The 21,578-nt window shown below is 45.0% G+C and overlaps 1 protein-coding gene across 1 annotated transcript, besides 16 other annotated features; it reads left to right on the top strand.

The window, feature by feature from the left end:
- Positions 244-952: a promoter, noted in NCBI's record as "F19R30 amplicon spanning -427 to +286". NCBI's record gives the evidence for it as "EXISTENCE:reporter gene assay evidence [ECO:0000049][PMID:15656994]".
- Positions 267-298: a protein binding site, noted in NCBI's record as "TGIF site". NCBI's record gives its function as "negative regulation of transcription" and the evidence as "EXISTENCE:protein binding evidence [ECO:0000024][PMID:22293114]".
- Positions 330-359: a protein binding site, noted in NCBI's record as "NF-YA site N1". NCBI's record gives its function as "positive regulation of transcription" and the evidence as "EXISTENCE:protein binding evidence [ECO:0000024][PMID:17910945]".
- Positions 374-575: a response element, noted in NCBI's record as "F18R14 amplicon spanning -293 to -92". NCBI's record gives its function as "mediates induction by retinoid X receptor" and the evidence as "EXISTENCE:reporter gene assay evidence [ECO:0000049][PMID:17005281]".
- Positions 413-440: a protein binding site, noted in NCBI's record as "NF-YA site N2". NCBI's record gives the evidence for it as "EXISTENCE:protein binding evidence [ECO:0000024][PMID:17910945]".
- Positions 414-448: a protein binding site, noted in NCBI's record as "RXRalpha footprint A". NCBI's record gives the evidence for it as "EXISTENCE:protein binding evidence [ECO:0000024][PMID:17005281]".
- Positions 447-733: a promoter, noted in NCBI's record as "F17R24 amplicon spanning -219 to +67". NCBI's record gives its function as "core promoter" and the evidence as "EXISTENCE:reporter gene assay evidence [ECO:0000049][PMID:15656994]".
- Positions 459-490: a protein binding site, noted in NCBI's record as "F3R3 CRE". NCBI's record gives its function as "positive regulation of transcription" and the evidence as "EXISTENCE:protein binding evidence [ECO:0000024][PMID:24257117]".
- Positions 485-512: a protein binding site, noted in NCBI's record as "RXRalpha footprint B". NCBI's record gives the evidence for it as "EXISTENCE:protein binding evidence [ECO:0000024][PMID:17005281]".
- Positions 554-574: a protein binding site, noted in NCBI's record as "-113 NF-Y site; also known as NF-YA site N3". NCBI's record gives its function as "positive regulation of transcription" and the evidence as "EXISTENCE:protein binding evidence [ECO:0000024][PMID:15656994, PMID:17910945]".
- Positions 584-614: a response element, noted in NCBI's record as "F31R31". NCBI's record gives its function as "mediates induction by retinoid X receptor" and the evidence as "EXISTENCE:reporter gene assay evidence [ECO:0000049][PMID:18786169]".
- Positions 584-614: a protein binding site, noted in NCBI's record as "F31R31". NCBI's record gives its function as "positive regulation of transcription" and the evidence as "EXISTENCE:protein binding evidence [ECO:0000024][PMID:19799567]".
- Positions 584-614: a protein binding site, noted in NCBI's record as "F31R31". NCBI's record gives its function as "positive regulation of transcription" and the evidence as "EXISTENCE:protein binding evidence [ECO:0000024][PMID:19799567]".
- Positions 584-614: a protein binding site, noted in NCBI's record as "-83 USF1 site". NCBI's record gives its function as "positive regulation of transcription" and the evidence as "EXISTENCE:protein binding evidence [ECO:0000024][PMID:15656994]".
- Positions 596-614: a protein binding site, noted in NCBI's record as "F35R35". NCBI's record gives the evidence for it as "EXISTENCE:protein binding evidence [ECO:0000024][PMID:18786169]".
- Positions 604-630: a protein binding site, noted in NCBI's record as "-63 SP1 site". NCBI's record gives its function as "positive regulation of transcription" and the evidence as "EXISTENCE:protein binding evidence [ECO:0000024][PMID:15656994]".
- On the top strand, positions 685-2,769 carry SOX3 (SRY-box transcription factor 3). Its single transcript, NM_005634.3, has one exon. The coding sequence runs from the start codon at positions 694-696 to the stop codon at positions 2,032-2,034; it is 1,341 nt and encodes a 446-aa protein (NP_005625.2). The 5' UTR covers positions 685-693; the 3' UTR covers positions 2,035-2,769.

Below are 21,578 nucleotides of genomic sequence, written 5' to 3'. Positions count from 1 at the left end.
TGAAGCCTGTCTCCCATGCCCGGGCCCCTGACCCACGCTGCGTCCTGGACGCACTGGCCCTCCTAGAGAAAGATCTGGACAACCAGCGGCCAATTCCAGGGAGAGCTTCTTGGAGACGCAGCCAGGAGCACTTCCAATGAGCCTGGAGTCCCTAAGCCGGCCTGGGTAGCTGGTGGTGCCCTGCGTTCCTAGCGCTGGCAGCAGAAGCGGCCAGAAAACCTCCGTGCAGACAACGGGAAGCTTTGCGGGCTGGCCGGGGGATGGGGCGCCGGTCTGCCTTGACAGGGTTGCAAAGTTGTTTTCTAAATTCCGAAGGCGCCCCTCTGCCCCCTCCCCCCAATCTGCTTGCGTGCCCCCTCCCCCCTCCCCCCGTCACCTCCTCAGGTTTCGTTCTTTCAAACTTTTTGAAACCCTAATTGGTGGCCTCTGAGTGGGCCTCGTGGACTCCCGCCTCCTAAGTAACTCTTACCACGTCACTAGGCCAAAGAGGGGCGTGGGGTGAACGAAAGGGCTCCCCGAACTTTTTTTTTTCCAGCCAGGCCGAACGGGGGCTCGGTAATGATTGGCCAGGGCGCATCACTGCGAACCTGTCAATCACGGGTCCTCCGGGTTGCGAGGGGCGGACCAAGCCCCAACCCCGGGGAATCCGAGCAGGTATATAAGGGGCCCAGCTAGAGCCCAGGCAGACTGTGAATGCGACCTGTTCGAGAGAACTCATCAGGTGCGAGAAGCCCGCGGGTTCCTGCTGATTTGGCGCGGAGCATTTTGATAAGCCTACCCTTCCCGCCGGACTCGCTGGCCCACAGGCCCCCAAGCTCCGCTCCGACGGAGTCCCAGGGCCTTTTCACCGTGGCCGCTCCAGCCCCGGGAGCGCCTTCTCCTCCCGCCACGCTGGCGCACCTTCTTCCCGCCCCGGCAATGTACAGCCTTCTGGAGACTGAACTCAAGAACCCCGTAGGGACACCCACACAAGCGGCGGGCACCGGCGGCCCCGCAGCCCCGGGAGGCGCAGGCAAGAGTAGTGCGAACGCAGCCGGCGGCGCGAACTCGGGCGGCGGCAGCAGCGGTGGTGCGAGCGGAGGTGGCGGGGGTACAGACCAGGACCGTGTGAAACGGCCCATGAACGCCTTCATGGTATGGTCCCGCGGGCAGCGGCGCAAAATGGCCCTGGAGAACCCCAAGATGCACAATTCTGAGATCAGCAAGCGCTTGGGCGCCGACTGGAAACTGCTGACCGACGCCGAGAAGCGACCATTCATCGACGAGGCCAAGCGACTTCGCGCCGTGCACATGAAGGAGTATCCGGACTACAAGTACCGACCGCGCCGCAAGACCAAGACGCTGCTCAAGAAAGATAAGTACTCCCTGCCCAGCGGCCTCCTGCCTCCCGGTGCCGCGGCCGCCGCCGCCGCTGCCGCGGCCGCAGCCGCTGCCGCCAGCAGTCCGGTGGGCGTGGGCCAGCGCCTGGACACGTACACGCACGTGAACGGCTGGGCCAACGGCGCGTACTCGCTGGTGCAGGAGCAGCTGGGCTACGCGCAGCCCCCGAGCATGAGCAGCCCGCCGCCGCCGCCCGCGCTGCCGCCGATGCACCGCTACGACATGGCCGGCCTGCAGTACAGCCCAATGATGCCGCCCGGCGCTCAGAGCTACATGAACGTCGCTGCCGCGGCCGCCGCCGCCTCGGGCTACGGGGGCATGGCGCCCTCAGCCACAGCAGCCGCGGCCGCCGCCTACGGGCAGCAGCCCGCCACCGCCGCGGCCGCAGCTGCGGCCGCAGCCGCCATGAGCCTGGGCCCCATGGGCTCGGTAGTGAAGTCTGAGCCCAGCTCGCCGCCGCCCGCCATCGCATCGCACTCTCAGCGCGCGTGCCTCGGCGACCTGCGCGACATGATCAGCATGTACCTGCCACCCGGCGGGGACGCGGCCGACGCCGCCTCTCCGCTGCCCGGCGGTCGCCTGCACGGCGTGCACCAGCACTACCAGGGCGCCGGGACTGCAGTCAACGGAACGGTGCCGCTGACCCACATCTGAGCACCGGCCTGCGCTCGTCCACCCTTGTTCCCCACCCCCACCCCCACTCCCGCCCCGCACCCCCAAGTTGGGACGCCTTGTTTAGCTTTGCTTGCCTGGGACTGTTGCCTTGTACCGATGATGGGGAGGGCTGAAAGTTTTGCTGTAGCTGTCGGGTTTTGTACAAAAGCAAAAATAAGTCAGGAGCAGCGAAAATGGGACTTCTAGAGAGCTCTCTTGCCCCACGCCGCTGCTCCTTTCACCTTTGTAGGCTGGGAATCGCTGTGTTATTTGCAAAGAAAAAACAGCCCCCACTCCTCCTCCTGAGTTCCAGGGTTATTCTGTTACATTTGAAAATGTTGTCTTGTTAGTTTGCAGTTAGCCAAGGAGTGAATGGGAGAAACATAGTATCGGGTGAGGCCAGCTGGAGAACTGCAACGCCTACGCCCCCAGTCGTGTCGCGTCTGTTTTCCTCGTGGTTTTTTGGGGCGCTGACCGCTCCAAGCAGCGCGGCAGCTAAAGCCAATGTTAATTTATAGCCAGGTGTGCGTGTGTCTCCCGCCTCGCCGCCCCTGGCCGCGGGACAGCTTCTGTCCAATCATGTTGAGTTGGTGATTTCTGCCGTGATCTGTTTGATATTTCTTCGCGCTAATGTGTTCAGATTTCGTTTGGGTAGTGGGGAGGGGCTACTTTGTTTCAGGGTTTTCAAGCTTTTACTCTTAATTCCTAAATGAGATCAATAAATTTTATAACCAACATGATGGAGTCCTGATAATTTTGCGGCCCTGAAACTTTTTTGCAGGTTGGGGAGGAACCAACACTCGGTTTTACAACTGAGATCCCATCCTAGGGGCGGGGTGGGACCTGGGGGGAGGCAAGCATAATCTGAAATGGTTTCCTTTTAACTACTGGTGATCCACCATACACCAGCTTCCAATATTCTCAACTGAAACTCGGAACAGAGTTCCGAGTCTTCCAGGAGCGTCTCCCGAGAGCGGGCACACAGTAGTAGCTAATGCGCAGAGCCCGCGGCCGCGCACTTGTTGATCGCAGTGAGCGTCTGCTGAAAGTGTCTGCTGCCGCAGCCACGCGAGGCGGGGCTGGAAAGGCGCGGCCGCTGAAACCGACCAAAAACGGGGCACTTTTACCTTTGTGCACTGGGGCGGGAAGACATTTGAGCCTAGCTGAAATATTTACAAAACGAAAACCCTTCGGAAATCTCGATGATCCTATTAAAAATAAATGGTTACAGGGATCCCCAGCAGGAAACAAATACGTTTCAACCCTGGTAGCTGAACCGCCGGAGTCAACATTCAGCGCTGGAAGATTTGGTATTAAAAAGTACTCCTTAGATTTTCAAAGATCTCCGAAACTCCTCCCAGGCGTTTTGTTTTTAACATGTCAACTCAGTCCACCTATTTGTTTTCCAGAGAAGGCTCCTTTTCATCCAGAGTCTCGAGCCCGCTTTCTACTCCATCCCCCTCCCCACTCCATCCCCCTCCCCACTTTCCTCCAGTCCCTGACCCTTGGCCATTCCACTGTGCCCCCCGAAGGGCCTTTAGTTTCGCGCCCAGCCACACGGCCCCAGTGTATCTGTTTGGGGCCTAGGAAGAAAACAAATAGAACCAGTGTTTTTTTACCCCCTCCTCAGCTGTTTGAGGTGATTTCCTTAATCCCTTTAATCCTGTTACCTCGCTATCCCAGAATAACTAAACTCAGCCTTTCCAATAAGCTTGGCCTGGTGCACTGTTTTTATCCTCATCCACTACTGACCACAGGTTTCTTTGCTTGAGGTCCGCTGGGACCCTAGGCGACAGAGTCTCCCGTAAATTGGTCCGAATTCCACATTTCCAGCCGGCTTCCTTTGTGTGGGCCAGTCATTCACCTGCGGGCCGGGGAGGGCCTGGTGGGGGGGTGGGGAGGGGGCTTTCTGAGGCTTCGGGGGTCGTGCCCGCTTTTTACACATCACTGCGGATCCTGGAGACTAAACCCACTCCGCCTCTTCAAGAAAGGTCGGGTCTCCCTGGGAAGGCAGCACCAGCCCCCTAAGACATTTCCACTGCCAACCCTCACCCCCCGCATTCCATCCCCCACTGTGCAGCATGGGGTGGGAGGGGGCCGGCGTTGATTTACAGACCCATACGCTTTGCCCTCCACCCAGTCCTCCTCCTGGTCCTGCCGCGCGTCCAGGCTCGGGTTCGGGTTCAGTCTTAGCCTTGGTACCACTCCCCCTTCTCCCAATCCCAGGGCCACAGACCTCGCCCCCCTCCCGGCTGGTTGGTGCTTCAATCCTTGCTGCTGTGATTGGAGCAAACCTGCAAGCTGCCTGGTCAGTGAGCCTCATCTCCCCTGGCCCCTCAACCCGGGTGCTCCAAAAACCCAGGGGCGAGAGGAAACTCTTTTGTCCCATCTATCCCCCCACCATATTTTTACCGTGTTTGGCCTTCAATAAAATACCTGTCCGTAGGTTACTCTGGGTTTCCAATTGCTAGCAATTGTGGACTCAAATTTGGTCTGAAATGACTCCAGGAAAGGGAGGGTAAAAACAAGCAATTCGCCCCCACTGTGGGAGGCGGTGCCAACAGGGGAATAAACTCTGACACTGCTTCTTTCGAAGAGTCCATTGTGCTGCTGCCTTCTTAGAAGTGCCAGGGTCACCCTTTCAGTGTGTCTCACATACCGCTCACTCTCTCTCTAAACATCCATGGCTTTGTGCTTCACTTTGTCTGATTTCCAAATTGCCCTTAAGGGAAAAGATTTCATCAATCAGCACATTAGGAGGATTTAAATACAGATGAAAAATGATTTTTTTTTCTTTCCTTCAGCAATAGGGAAGAGAACGGAACTGAACTAGAATGAAACTTTCATCTTCTAGGCCAGAGTTTTCAAACTGGGGCCCCTCCCCCACTCCTCCCCACTCACGTCTATCAGGGCAACCGAACCTTAATCCATTTTATAGATTGGGGTTCTGATAAGGTTTAATTTGTAATAAGGGTTCTGCTGCTTAAACAGCAACAATAATGAAATCTGGTCAAACTCCAATTCCTCCTCCCTCCTCTTCCTTGTTTTACATAGGAGGAAACTGGCCCCAAAAGGGGAAATGACGGTGCTCAAGGTTGCGTAGCTGGTTCTACCGCGGCGCAGTGGAACCACACTCCCAGGCCTGGGAGGGTACTCTCTCCTCTGCCGGCCACAAAACCAAGAGATAAACCAGTGAAATCACAGCCCCAGCTGCCCCTCAAAGCCATAATCCAGCGGGGCCTCTAGAGAAAGGCAATTCCTGACACAGAGACTCCTACTAGCCACCTCTTCGTGAATGATGTGATGTGGGAAGCATCAAGTCCTTACCGAGGGAAAATGGCTAGTCCATTTTTTAGCTTCTATGATAGGTGCAGAGCTACTTTTTGGTGGGAATTACCCTAGGTAGAGTTTTGCTTTCCTATCTTCTGACTATACAACTTCCTTCATTAATCCCCCTTCTAGAAATCTAGGAGTGGGTGAGGGTTGGGGCTGAAGAAGCGCATCCAAAATGCAGCCAAAGATTTATAACAAAGATACTCATCACAGCCCTTCTTATGCAAAAAAGTTCCAAACAGACCAAATGTCCAACAAATGGAGAAAGGTTAGGTAAAATGTTTTAAAAAGTCTGCTTTGCAGACATGAAAATCGTTTACAGAGAAATTTTTAATGACACAAGGAAAAGCTTAAAGCACAAAGCATAAACAGCAAGATACACAGAACTATATTCAGTGTATATGACCTTGACTATTTAAAATAAGTATATTCGACTGGAGAAACATGCAAAAATGCAGGGTAGTGTTATGAATACTGGTTAGTCATCCTTCTCATACTTTCCAATTTTCTCTAATAGGATTGCATTCCTGTTATCACTAGAAAAGGCAGGTTTAAAATATATTCTCTCCCTATCACAAATACAAAATTGTGTCTCCTTGTGAAAGAGAAAAGTTCAAGCCTTTCCTTCAGCTGTTTTGGGATGGGGAGGGGGCAGGGAGCCCCAGGAGCAGTAATCCTCTAGCTTTTCTCCAGGTTGGGGCCTGCAGTTAACACAAGCAGGACAAGCACACCAGAGCAACCCCCTGCCAATTCCCCTCCTCAGTAAGCAGGAGCAGGATCAGATTAGTGAGCGGCTCCGTCATTCTTCAGACCCACTCACTGGAGAAAAAGACCTCCTTGGGAGCCAAGCTGAACAGCCTGGGCTGCGGGGAGCTGGGGCCGCTGAGGAACCAGAAGGCGCTTAAATGCAGGGGCCCAATCAACCCTCACTGCCCTCTTGAGAAGGGGGCAGAGAGCAAGCCCAGGGGTGGGTTCCCAGGTCAGGCAGAGGAGAGGTTAGGTGAGCACCAACCAGCTGAGTGGAATACATACAACATGCTGTGTCTCTCCTTTCCATCGTCACCATCCTCATCCACACCACTACTGTCATTTCTTGTTGGACCTCTGCCATGGCCTTCTTCTACCTGTTCTCACTGCTTCTACTCTGCCCGCTTCAACCCATTATCCCTAGAACATTCACTCCACTTGCCCAACATAAATCCTTTCATTGTTACTTTTTAAAGAACTTTCTGGTGGCTTCCTATTGATTGCTCTTTAAAAAATATCCCAACTCTCAAAAGCATTGCCTGATCCAGCTCTTACCTACCTCTCTGGGTTCAACTCCTTGGACCTCTTAGTCTTCCTTCGCTCAACCTCAGCCAGGATTCCTTTTGAGAAATGTTTGTTGAATGAATAGATTATGGTTTGTGTTAGTTTCATATCTCAACACATTTTAAAGTCTAGTAATTGTCTTAAATAAAGATTATTATGCACAGTACATATTTTATTTTTTGCATCTGTAGGATTTCCCCCAAATCCACACATCAAGCACAGATTTCCTAACAATTACATCCATTGACAAAAAGGCACTGTTTCTTTCTTGCCTCAGGGCTTTTGAACTTGCTATTTCCTCTGCCTAGAAAGTTCTTTTCCAAGCTTGCTTCTCAAATAGTCCAGTGTCCTTCTGAACATCCCAGTTCAAGCATCACTTTTTTTTTCATAGAGATGGGGCTTCACTATGTTGTCCAGGGTGGTCTTGAACTCCTAGGCTCAAGCAATCCTCCTGCCTCAGCTTCGCAAAGTGCTGAAATTACAGGTGTGAGCCACCACACTCAGCCACTTTTTCTTTTCTTATTTTTGGAGAGACAGGGTCTTGCTATGTGGCCCAGGCTGGTCTCCACCTCTTGGCCTCAAGCAGTCTTCCAACCTCAGCCTTCCAAAGTTCTGGGATTACAGGCATGAGGCACGATGCCTGGCCCTAGCACCACTTCTTTTAGAGAGGTTTTCATGTTGCCCTTCTTCAGAATAGGATGGATCTCCTTGTTATAAGCTGTTATAGCTCTGGGTGCCTTTCCAACACTGATTCCAGTGATCATTTTAATTTATTTGTATGATTCTGCCTCTTGTCTGCTTTCTAGTCTGTAAGCTCCATGAAGGCAGATACCGTGTCTACTCTTCACCAATACTCAGCACAATGCCTATTTTATAGGAGGCTCTCAGAATATTCATGAGTGTTTATTGCATGTTTAGGAATGGGTGCCCTGGGGACTTAAAGCCAATAGGATCAGTGAAAATCAAGACTGAATTTATAATTTTTTGTCTCCATCTCTTACCAGCTGTGGGCTCCTGAGGACATCACTTACTCTGAGCCTCAATTTGTTGAAATGTCAAGTGGGGACAACAATGTGTCCAGTTTGTTGTTAAGGATTCAATAAAAAACGGTGCTTTGAGAGCTAAGCACAGTGCCTGGCACACATTGTGCAGTATGTGTTAGTTATTATTATCTTTGTACATTTTTTTTTAAAAAAACTTTTTTTTAGGGACAGGATCTCGCTATGTTGCCAGCCTAGAGTGCAGTGACTATTCACAGGTTCCATCATAGTACACTGCAGCTTCAAACTCCTGGGCTCAAGCAATCCTCCTGCCTCAGCCTCCTGAGTAGCTGGGACCACAGGCACATGCCACCACATTTGGCTTATGTAAGCTATTATGATCACTTTCTCAATAGCCTCTGTTGACCTTTCAGAAAAGAGGGAGTGTTCTCTGGTCAGATTGTGTACTTCCCACCATGAGTGATGCTTCTCATTGCTGAGGCTAGCTCTTGATGAAGAAGAAGGCACCATCAGTCTTCACCATTAATAATGAAAAGAAAGCCATACGACACCAAAAGCATAAACAGACACACAACAATAAATAAATTGAACTTCATAAAAATTAAAAATGTTTTGCTTCAAAGAACACCATCGAGAAAGTGAAAAGACAACCTGCAGAACTGAAAAAAATATATGCAAATCATATATCTGATCAGGGGTTTATGTCTAGACTATATAAAAACTCTTGAAACTAAATAATACAAACACAACCCAATTAAAAAATGGGCAGAGGACCTGAGTAGACACTTTTTCCCAGGGAAAATGTACAAATGGACAATAAGCCCATGAAAAGATGCTAAACATCATTAGTCATCAGGGAAATGCATATCAAAACCACAATGAGATACCACTCACAAATAACATGGTTATTACAATAACAATATAAAAGTAGACAATAACAAGTGTTGCCAACGATGTGGGAAAATTGGAATCTTTATTCAGTGCTAGTGAGAGTGCAAAACTCTTTGAAACAAGTCCAGCAGTACCTTAAAAGGTTCAGCATTGATTTACCATATGACCCAGCAGCAATTCCACTCTAAGGAATAACCAAGAAAAATGAAAACATATTTTCACGCAAAAATCTGTAAACTAATGTTAGTAACAGCACTGTTCATAATAGCCCAAAAGCAGAAACAATCTAAATGTCGATTACATGATTAATAGGTAAATAAAATTCAATATATTCATACAATGAATAGTATTCTGCAATGAAAAGAAATTGAGTACTGGTATATACAGGGGCTAGGATCCACACACATATTTCTTTGTTCTGTCAGCTGAGAGGACCTGGAAGCAGAGACATCCCAGTTACAATGAGTACACCTAGTGCCCAGATCTTAGTTTCTAATATCATTCTTCAATAAAAGGAACCAGGGATCTTTGGGAAAATGACTGATTCTAGGACTGGGGCCAGAAATATACAAAATAAGCCTGTTGCGTCTTGCAGTGATGGAAAGTAAGGGAAGGAAAAAGAGGGAGACAGAGAGACAGAGAGAAATAGGGAGAGGGAGAGAGAAGACACATAAACTACAATGATGCTCTGTGTCAAAGGAACACAGTAGCCAACTAAAATAGCTCCCAGTGACCAAATTGGAACAATTTGAGCAACAAAATGAATAAAGCAGTATCGGATTATAACCTCAAGTATTAAAAAATGCATGTATCCACACTGATATAAATAAATAAGTAAATAAATAAATGAGAGGAGAGGAAGAGACAAATCTGTGCAGAAGAAGTCAAAATAATTTATGTAGATACTCTGGACTCAGGGTAGTGGAGCACAACTCCCTATGCCTTAAGTGTGGGCTGCTCATAGTGAGTACCTACCAAAACTGTATGCATAACAGGCAAAAAGGATAACTGCAGTGGAGAAACCTGACAAACCCTATCAAATCCAGATTATCAAGCTCAACATCAACAGTCATAAATCATGTTGATAGCATGCAGCCTTGATATGATGTGATGAGAATGGCACTTTACCTCTGCAGTCTTCCTCCCCAAAACAATAATCCCAGTTGAATCATAAGAAAAGCATAAGACAAATTCTAATTGAGGGACATTCTACAAAACACCTGACCAGAAATCCTCAAAACTGTCAAGGTCATCAAAAAACAACAAAAGGCTAAGAAACAGCCACAAGTAGCGTAAGCAGACATGACTACTATTGTAATGTAAATGTATTATGGTATTCTGATAGGATCCTGGAAAAGAAAAAGGACTTTAGGGAAAACCTGAGGAAATCTGAATAAAGTATGGAGTTTATATAGTAATAACATATCAGTATTGGTTCATTAATTATAACAAATGTACCACACTAACGTAAGACGTTAATTATAAGGGAAATGGGATATGGCATTATATGGGAACTCTCTGTACAATCTTCCCAATTTTTCTGTAATCCAAAACTGTTCTGAAAAGTAAAGTTTTTTCTTTATTTTTTTGAGACAGGGTCTCCTTCTGTCACCCAGGGCGGAGGGCAGTGGCATGATCTCGGATCACTGTAACCTCTACCTCCCGGGTTCAAACAATTCTGTCTCAGCCTGCCCGGTAGCTGAGACTACAGGCATGCGCCACCACACCCAGCTAATTTTTGTATTTTTAGTAGATACAGGTTTTTGCCATGTTGGCCAGGCTGGTCTCGAATTCCTGGCCTCAAGTGATCTGCCCACCTTGCTCTCCCGAAGTGCTGGGATTACAGGTGTGAGCCACCATGGCCAGTCAAGTTGTTTTTTTGAAAAATAAATGATGAACATCGATGAACCTTGAAAACATTAACAAGTGAAAGAAGCCAACTGTAAAAGATTATATATTGTATGATTCAATTTGTATAAATATCCAGAAAAGGCACATCTATAGAAACAGAAATTAGATTAGCGGTTGCCTATGGCTGGAGGGGTTGGGAGGAAATAGAGAGTTACTGCTAATGTGTACAGGGTTTCTTTTTTGCATGGTGAAAATGTTCTAAAATTGATTGGGATGATGGTTGCACCACTTTGAATATTCTAAAACCCATTGAATTTTAAATTTTACATGGATGAATTTTATGGTATTAAATTATATATCAATAAAGTGGCTATTTGAATTTAAAAAAACACCTGGGGCTCTGGTGGCTGATACTAGGAGAGGTGTTTGAGAGAAAGCTGTCCAGTGCTAGGGGCTATTGTACTAACCAGCTGCTACCTCAAATCCAAATGCATTCTGCTAACCTAGTCTGTTAGAACAGGAAAAGTCCTCAGAAATAATCTAATCCAGCACTCTCATTTTACATACAGGGAAACTGAGGCCCAGAGAGACACAGGCATAACAAGGTCACATAGCTTGTTAATGCCAGAGTCAATGAACCAGAGCTTGGGTATTCTCCCTCCCTGTTCAATGATTTTTACAACTACTCTCAACTTGCCTTTAATAAGGCTGAATGTGTTCTTTCCATCTCCACCAGAAACACCTTCTCAGTTTGAGGGTATATAGAAAAGGACAAAACATTCCCAAAAGAAAAACAAAGTAATCTTTTTAGTTACTAAAAGTCTAGAATTAGTTACTGAACATCTAAAATTCCAAAATGGGTTCTTGTGGTAGCAACTCTCCTCAAAAATTTTAAAAGTGAGAACTTCTGTATTAAATAAAATTTTCATTGACAAAAGGGTCCTATTTAAAGAAGTAATTAAGAGCTTGTTTCTTTTTGAAGCATGTATTCTCTATGAAAATGTCAATCAAATGTAACTGAAGTTTAAATTACCATGTTTATTTTACTCTTACATTTTATTAACTAATGATAAATATGCTTTTATATGTGGATCTTGACAATCCCTGATGAGCAAAAATAAAAAATGTATAATACTTATTAAACAGTATTCAAAACATTTAATGAACTTCAATTTTTATCTAAACATGAAACCTTCAAGGACTTTTGAAATATGTTAAAAAGCTTTGCTAATGCTCATGATTTATTTACTCTATAAACACTTTTGAGGCAACCTATATGTCAGAGAGTGTGCAACGATCTGGGAACAAAAGGAAGTCATGTGGCTCACAATGTAGGTTTGGAGAGAGAAGGTCAACAGGTCTCATTCTTGAGACAAAATGAAATGGGAACCATTCCATGGTAGAGCCAGGGTTCATGAGAGAGTCAAAGAAGGGGCTTCCTGGAGAAGAGAATATTTAAGCTGAGCCTTATAGTATACATAGAAATTTCATAGGAAAAGAAGGGGTGGTGGGCATTCTGGGCTGATAGAACAGCATGCAAATAACACAGTCATCTATCTTGGAGTCAGGGAACTTTATGTGGTTAAAGAGCATGGCTTTGAAGGGAGCGGATGGAGTGATGTCATGGGAAATGAGGCTGGAGAGGTAGAAAACGTCATATTCGTGGGCCTTGAATGTCATGCTAAGGGGTTGTGACTTGATTCTGTACTCAGTGGAAACCATGAAATGATTTTGGTCAGTGCTTTATAAAGATCAAGCTGACTACGGTGTGAAGGACAAATTGGACAAGGAAGAGGCTAGAGGCAGAGAGAATAGCCAAGAGGCTGTTTGATTTTGGTTAAGGCAAGAAAGCAATCTCTGAGTCCAGTAGCAATGAGCATGGGAAGTGGTAAGATCAAGAGGTAGGTAAGCAGGGTGAGTCTCTTCTTCATCCTGGTTGGGGGTGACTAGAGAGAGAGGTAGCATGAACAGAGATAGAGAGCACAAGAAAAGGAGTTTAAGTTCTTAAACTTTTTTTTTTTTTTTTTTTTTTTTTTTTGAGACAGAGTCTTGCTCTGTCGCCTAGGCTGGAGGGCAGTGGCGCAATCTCGGCTCACTGCAACCTCTGCCTCCCAGGTTCAAGCAATTCTGCCTCAGCCTCCCGAGTAGCTGAGATTACAGGTGCCCACCACCACACCCAGCTAATTTTTGTATTTTTAGTAGAGACGGGGTTTCACCATGTTGGCCAGGCTATTCTCGAACCCCTGACCTCGTGATCTGCCCGCCTCGGCCTCCCCAAGTGCTGGGATTACAGGCATGAGCCACCGTGCCTGGTCAGTTCTCAAACTTTTAAAGTGAAAAGAATAGATTTTGATATGTGACTTTAGTTTGGTACTATATGTTTCCATATATAATCACATTAATATCTACATCACTTTGTTCAAATGAACCATTGCCCCATCAAATTTAATGTGGTTTTGTAGGTTAATAAAAACATATTCCATCTACTAGCATTGCTCAATTGAAAATGATTCTATTTGTTGCTTTATTAATTGCGCAATTGAAATACCATTATTTGCAAGTAGATAGTTTCAAACATTCAGAAGTAGTCTGTGCATTCTTTTCTGAGAAGACCTCTAAGGTGCTTTCTAACTTTAAGATTCTTCTGTGAGACTCTGTGCAGGAACAGGATATCTGTAATGTCAAAAACCCCAAACTGCTCAGCAAAATTGGAATGGTAACAAACTTCTGTGCTCACACCCTGGGTAGGATAGTGTTGTCAACACTTCCAGCACAGCTGATAGAGCTGTCTTTCAGTCTGTCTGCAGGCTCTGTTTACATTCTGCAGGTTAGCTAGAAACACACTCACCACCACCAACCCCTGATAAAGATCTCTGGGTCAACTTGACATCTTCTAGACTCTTCATGTACTGTGTTTCTTCTAACAAGCTCTCCTGCTATGTCACATTGTATAATTTCTTTGGGAAAAATAAATTAGGCTGAGTATGTAAACAACATATGAACTCTAGAGATGTTGCCAATAATTACAAGCAGCAGAAATCAACAGCAGATTTACGCAGCACACTTAAAAAGGGAACTTGTCCAATTTGGAGAGGGCTCAGGTTAATCTGAAAGGCGAAGAGAGTCACTCATATTTAGAGTCTTCAGTGAGGTAAAATGAAAACCCAAAAATGGCTGCAAAGATAAGGAAATTTTTTTTTAGGATGCGAAGTAGTTGCTTAGGAGAAGATATACATAGATAGTACACACAAAAACACATACACACAATAACACTGGTTTGATGAAATGTTGAGGATCTCCAGGGCTTCACTGTTGCACTTCCTAAGCCACCTCTACATTAATACTCCCAAATGTCCAGTCCATATGATTGTCCTAAACCTCTGCCCTTTGAATCCTGCTGCCTCCTAAGTATATTTACAGGGGTGTCCCACAGGCCCTCAAACTTTGGCCAGCAAACTAGTATATCATATTCCTCCCCAAAGCAACACCTCCTACTTTATTTTCCATCTTAATTAAACAGCGTCGATGTCTGCCTAGATATCTGTTTCCTTCTCACACTCCAACCCAGCTTGCTCACATTTTCAGAATTCATCTGCTTTTCATTGCCACTGCCTTATTGGGGCTTGTATTACTTATCTATTGCTGTGTAAGAAATTATCTCAAATGTTGGCAGTATAAAACAACAGATACCCTACTTGTTAATTCCAGTTTCTGTGGCTCAGGAATTTTGGTGTGGCCCACCTGGTTCAGGATCTCTTACAAGGACGCAGTCAAGGAGTTAGCCAGGACTACAGTTATCTCAAGGTTCCACTGGGGTAGGATCCATTTCCAAGGTAACTGATGTGGCTGTTGGCTTACCTCAGAAGATCTACTTCCCAGTTCACTTAAGTGGCTGGTGGGCAGGCCTCTGGTTCTAGCTAGGTTTTGGCCAGAGACATAAGCCACTTGCCATCTGAACCTCTCCATAGGGCCGCTCACGACATGGCAGCTGATTTTGGAAGTCATAGCCTTTCTGTAACCTAATCTCAGAAGAGTCATCCAACACCTTTACTGTATTCTGTTTATAGGAGTGAGACATTAGGTCCAGGCCACACTCAAGGGGAGGGGAATAAACAGGGGCCTGAATGTCAGCAGGCAGAGATCATTGGTAATCAACTTAAAGTCTTTCAGCAGGAAGGTCCTTGTCTTTGGCTGGAATGTAATGCAGGCACTAGCATCCCACTGGCCTCCAGGGCTCCAGGGTCACCTCGCTCCAGGTCATCTTTCATATTGAAACCAGAGCAGTTTTCCTATGAAAACAATCTGATTATGTGATGCTGCTGCTAAAAACCAACTCTGTTGGCAACCTGTGCTACCCATAGGACAAAATACAAGCTCCTTGGAAAGCCATCCAAGGCCCTCCGTGATCTGTTCCTGACTTCTTAGCTCCTTGGTCTTGTTTCATATCAACACACTCTTCCTCTAGAGCAATACCAAATTTCCCACGATTCCCAGGTTCCCTGAAACAAACCAGGTTCTTCTAGGTCCTTCTACAATTTCCGAGGCAGTGAAGAATGTATGCTCCTCTGGCTGCCTGGTCTTGTTTTCTGCCTTTCATCCTTCGAGGCACAGCTTCAGTGGCACCTCCTTTCAGATTCTTACCCTGACTATCCCTGTCTGTGCCTCCCAAACTCTTTGTATGTAGTTCCATTTGAGGAACTTACACAGTGCCTGGCATATATGATGAGACACTTGATGCCACTTCGTCGTTTTCTTGAATAAAACCAAATAGAGCTAGAGCTGTACGAAAGAAAAAAAGGCATAGATTATTGAAGTTCAAATGAGGTAGGACTTGGAGGGCTTGAGAGGAGAAAGGAACGCATTTGTCTGAGATTACACTGCTATTCACTGACTGAGTTGGAACAACTAACAAGCTTAGCCAGACCTCCTTCCATCAACTCAAGTGCTCTTGCTACTCCTACAAAAGTAACTTCACTGCTTTTAAGCTCCCTGTTGCCCCCCAAAATCTATGATTCGCCAAAGGTAGGAAAAACGGAAGTTTAAAAATAAGCCTGCAGGTGATGCTTCTCCATTCCTGTTAGAATCAACATGAGTCCTATTACTATCTCCATCTTGTGTGAACATAGACTTCCTGCATGATAGGGTGGCGAGAATCACATTCTAATTTGGAGTAAAGAAATCAGAAGAAATTCCGTCCCCTTTTCAGTTTTTGTTGTAGGGCTGAATTTGTTTGCAGGAGTTTATGGTCCTGGAGGACCACTCTTGGGCCTCCTCCAGTAACTGCATTCTTCTCCATTTTCTGTATGTTTATTCAGCATTCTCCTTTCTGGGTACATGGATTTCCATTTCCAGAGCTAAAAGCTCCAGGATATTCATGGGAAGAAATGTATGGACAGCAGAAGGTTCTCCTTTCCTTCTTCTTCCTTTTCTACTGAATAAGTCCTTAACATACCAAAAAGAGCTGTCCTAGAGATAACAAGGACTTGCAGCATGTGATGCCTGAGTAGCTACAGCAGCAAGGGCAATTCCAGTGACAGTGCAGGCTCTGAAATCAGCAAGAATGAGGAATCTGACAGGAGGTGCTGAGGAGGAATATGCTGCAACGGCTCACGAAGTGCTGATGTGGGGAGGGCTGTGGCAGGGCAGCTGGTTGTGCGTCAAAATCCCAAAGATATAGTGAGGTTCTTGCTAGATATTATGTACTTTCAGTGGAGAGAGGAAAGAATTAGGGCTCAAATTGTGAAGCCGGTTAAGTCTTTCAGAGCTTGACCAGTGTAACCAGTTGGATTTTAAATTTCAGCTTCTACCCAAGTCCATAGCTTAGCTTGCTTTCATTGAATATGTTTTGTGAACCTCTCTCAGACTCAAGTACCTCTTCTGCAAAATGGGAATAATAGCGGCACTTACTTTATAGCATGGCTCTAAGTTTAAATAGGAGAATGTATATAAGGGGCTTATCACTCAATACAGGGAAAATATTACCTTTATTATTACAATCCTGGAAGAATCCAAAACTCCACATTCCAAATGAACATTAGACTATGAACTCTAATAAATCAACCCATGTAGTTTCTCAAGACAAATAATATCCAAGGTCACACAGGTAGTAAGCAGAGGCTTCGCAAGAACCTCTGTGACCTTGGATATTATTTCCTAAGCTCTCTGAGCCTCCAATTTCCTTATCTGTAAAATGAAGACAATAATAGTATTGACTTTACAGAGTTGTAGAAAAGATTAAATAAAAGACTTAGCAATGCCTAGCATATACTATTATTATTATTATTATTATTATTATTATTCTAGACACAGCCTTTCTATAGCTTTATGCAATCCAGGTTTACTTTCCTGCTGTAGTGGAAAGAGCACAGGCTTTGCAATTGGACCAATATCAGTTTGAGATGCTTAGAGTGTAGATTCCAGAGTCTTAGTGCCTGGGTTTCAATCCCAGCCCCATCAGTAACTGTGTGACCTTGGGCAAGAACTTTAACTAAGAGTCAAAGATTTATTATAGATTATTTACTTACATTTCAATAGCACACACAAACTATTACATTTTCTTAGGTCTGAATTGAAATATTAGCAGTATATTTATTTTCAGAAGTGGTTTCTATAATTTTGTAGCCTTTTAGAAGCCTCAGTATATTATGTTGACCTTTCTATTCTTCAGTTTCCCCATCTGCAAAATGCTGATTATAACGGCACATACCTCTGAGTTCTGTTATGACCATCTACCCAAAATTTGGTCCAGTGTCAAGACTGATGATGCCAAACACAAACAAAAAGTGTATGAAAAGGTTTGTTAATTGCATAATTGGGGCTCTCCAAGGGAGAGCAGGGCAGGCATCCCAAGCCGGCCCAAAACTGGCTTGAGAGAGCTAGAAAAGGAGATTGGACAGGGGGTTTTATTGTGGCTAGGAGGTAGGACCAGGGTATGGGTTCCCACACATGGTCAGGGGCTTATGTGGTTTGAATCCTGCCAGAACTAAAGGAGGTAGTGCCCAAGCTTTCTTAAAAGCTTGCCCAGATGTGGAGAACAGTGGGACGAGGGGGCTGAAGCTTAAAAGCTGCCAGCACTCAAACATCAAAAAATGGAATCAGACTGCTTGTTACAAGTTGTGACCCAATAAATGAGATAACACACATAAAGTACTTAATGAATAGTGGCTGTTATTATTTGAACCAAAAGTCTTGATAAAGTCATTGGCTGCTTTATTGCAAATCTGTGAATCTGTGACTTCTTTATGTTGAGGGGTTCTGTGGTATAGTGGAAAGAACACTTAATGAATAGGTCACTGGGTAACCTAAGGTCTACCCCTCATTAGTCCTCATTAACTTCCCCTCTGGGCCTCAGGTATAAAATAAAGGGGTAGGACAAGATGTCCTAGAAGGCTCCCTGAGAGTCTAATAAGGTCTGAAAGGCATGATGGTTGGCTCATTCATTAAGTGGTATTGCTGCAGAATGAAGAACCACTGGCATTCCTTTTCAGTCCACTTTCCACTGTTCCATATGTTGTTACACTCTATAACATTTGAGTCTTTAAGGCAGATTTAAACCACTAGAGTAAAGAAGTAAACAAACAATAGACCGAGAATATGAGCTCTAGGTTGTCTTTTTTTTTTTTTTTTTTTTTTTTTTTGAGACAGAGTTTCGCTCTTGTTGCCCAGGCAATGGCGTGATCTCGGTTCACTGCAACCTCCACCTCCTGGGTTCAAGCGATTCGCCTGCCTCAGCCTCCCAAGTAGCTGGAATTACAGGCATGCACCACCACGCCCAGCTAATTTTGTATTTTTAGTAGAGACGGGGTTTCTCCATGTTGGTCAGACTGGTCTTGAACTCCCAACCTCAGGTGATCCACCCACCTCGGCCTCCCAAAGTTCTCGGATTACGGGTGCGAGTCCCCGTGCCCGGCCTTAGGTTAAGTTTTAATAGATCAACAGTTGTTCCATAACTTTCTCACAGTCTGAAAAAAACAATGTTCCACATCAACCTTGTCTGCAATAACTTTGATTTTTCCATTCTTAAAAAGCATTCTCTTTTTTGTCTTTATTATAAAGACATATCCATTAAAATATTCATTTGAGATGAAAAAGGATGGAAGAAAGGGGAAAGAAAATTACTAGAGAGAAAGAAAATTTAGAAAAATAGTTTCCAGAAATGAGAAGATCTTACTTCTATCTTAAGAATGTTTCCACTGGTGAGCAAGCTAGCATTACTGTGTCTGGAAGGCGTATGGTTTGCAGGACAAGACACAGAACTACAGCATGTCTTTGATGAACATTTGTCAGGGACAAATGAGGTCGAAAGACAGTTTCCCAGGGAATTGTAACTTGTTTGCTCAGAGCAATTCCTGATGTCTAAACTCTCAGACGTCCCTCAACTCAGCCATGCATAAGAACATTCTTGTCGACAGTGAGTTTCAATCTACTTTTGATCACTTTCTTCAAGCCTGTCAACACTTCAATTGCAGTTCATTTGGGGAGGGTGGAAGGACCTAGACTATGAAAAGAGCACAGCAGACTAGGAGGTAAGCCATTCTCAAGAGGACGTTGCCCAGGGTTGTGCTTGCTTAAAAATATGATATGGCCAGGTCTGCTTTAGTAAGAGCCACTCTTCTTGGCTTCTTTGGCTCTAGGTATGTCACAGGGCATCTCTATGTCCTTTCCGAGAAAAGATGTGCCTTATGGAAAGTTTCCATCCATTTTTACCGAATTTTACATTATATACATATTTCCTAGAGGAGATACTCTATTTCCACATGTTGAGGCACATAATGTGCCATGGATCTCATTCATGTCACATTTGACTGTCCCAGCCAAATGGATGCCCAGCTTGGAGGCCTCCAGGGATGAACGGATCACTACCTTGTGGGGCAAAGTGGCCCCTGTTTGAAAAGCTCTTACTATTCTGTTTTGTACCTGCCACCCATTCCTCCTAGTGGGGACTTACAGAGTTTCCTCTCTATCCTAGGACAGCACTGTGCAGTAATTTTGCTCATCTCCAAGCCAATCACTCTCACTTCCTTCAACTTTCTCTCATTTGGAAGGTTCTAGGTGCTCTTCAATTTTCTTGTGTCTCTCCTGAGAAAATTTTGCAATATTTCTTCATCTATCAGTACAGTGTAGCAGCCAGAAGTGAACACTGGGTGGGGTTTGACTAGGGCAGAGCAGAGCAGGACTCACTTTCCCAAACTGAAGAGCAAGTTTCACCACCCCGGAAGTCTATGAGTACATTACACTGTTGACTCACAATAAATTTCATATTGATTAATTTAGCTACTCAATCCCACTTCATTGTCAGGTCCTGATTCTGTCATCCAACACATTCTTCCCAGCTGCTATTCTATAGAGATAGCTTAGCCCAATTTTATAATTAATATAAATTAATATATAATTATATATAATATAATTTCATATATTGTATATAATTTGGGTTATATACACATTTTGAATATTTATCATATATATGGGAGTGTTTGTGTGTGTGTATCTATCTATATATGAAGGTCGAATATTTATCATATATATGGGAGTGTGTGTATGGACACTCCCATATATATGATAAATATTCAACCTCTGTATATTTTAAATATATATTTATGTATATATAAAATCAAACTGATGGCCATATATATATATATATATATACACACACACATATATAAAATCATATATATATAATCAAACTGATTGCCACTTATAATTTTTTTTTTGAGATGAATTTTCACTCTTGTTGCCCAGGCTGGAGTGCAATGGTGCGATCTTGGCTCACTGCAACCTCCACCTCCCGGGTTCAAACGATTCTCCTGCCTCAGCCTCCCGAGTAGCTGGGATTACAGGCATGTGCCACCACGCCTGACTAATTTTCCATGTTTAGTAGAGATGAGGTTTCTCCATGTTGGTCAGGCTGGTCTCGAACTTCCGACCTCAGGTGATCCGCCCGCCTCGGCCTCCCAAAGTGCTGGGATTACAGGTGTGAGCCATCGCGCCCAGCTGCCACTTAGAATTTTTAAAAGTGAATTCTGGTCACTGGGTAAGTACCCACTTATCTTTTCTATTTCTGCCATTTGGACAATGGGAGTACAGGGGACATTGATTTCTAGTCCAATTCATTTTGTGATCCTGCGCATTTATACACACTACCTCCAGACTTAACCCATTTGATTCCTGGCATGTCATCAGGTCCTTATTCTTCTCATATCTATACCAAACCCTCTATCCACACTGAACTAAAGTCACCACCATGATTGACTCTTAGGCCCCTTGACCCCAGGATCCAGGACTTCAGCTTGAACACTAACCCAAAGAAATCGTGTCAGAACTAAAGCAAAATGGCTTGGACAGTAAGGGCTGCACAATACTGGGGCAGGCTCCTGAGAGGGTCTGGGGCTTCCTTTCCGAGAGGGTCTGGGAAGGCACTTGGAAGTTCTTTTCAGGGAAGGATTCTCAAAGAAAGGAAAAAGTTAGCTTCTTTTATCGTTATACCTAGACCCTAGAGAGCTATTGGTGAACATCCAGCAAGAATAGAATAAGAACTCCAGTATTGCCTCTAAGCCTTAACCTCCCACAGCCACTGAGCTCAGCTTCATTTGTTGTGTTCTAATAAACTCAGGACCAGATTGAGATTTGGACAGACATGGCTGCATGCTGTTGATGATGATTTTAATATCTTGAAAGCTCGTGAAATTCCAGCATTTGATCTCCACAGGGACTGTTAAACCGAACAAGCTACAATGTCTTTAGTCACAAATATTAGCAAGACACTCCAAGTTGCAGTATATATGAAAGCTACTTACTGAAACTGTTGCTTCTCAGTGACTTCCTTTGACTACTTTATCAGTAGCTGCCAGATTCCAAGATCCCCTACTCTTGTGATTCGCTGAGCATGGAATTTATTCAGTCTTTTAATTGTGCCTAAGCATACAAAAAACAGGGTTTCTTTTTTCTTTCTTTTTTTTTTTTTTCGAGATCGAGTGTTACCCTGTCACTCAGGCTGTAGTGCAATGGCCTAATCATAGCTCACTACAGCCTCAAACTCTTGGGCTCAAGCAATCCTCCCACCTCGGTCTCCCAAGTAGCTGGGATTACAGGAAAACTCCACCATGCTGGGCTAATAATTTTCTAGTTTTATGTAGAGACGGAGTCTCCCCATGTTGCCTT

This window comes from Homo sapiens, chromosome X (genome assembly GCF_000001405.40).
Source record: "Homo sapiens chromosome X, GRCh38.p14 Primary Assembly".
NCBI classification, from domain to species: domain Eukaryota; kingdom Metazoa; phylum Chordata; class Mammalia; order Primates; family Hominidae; genus Homo; species Homo sapiens.
This window is presented reverse-complemented; position numbering and strand designations above follow the sequence as displayed.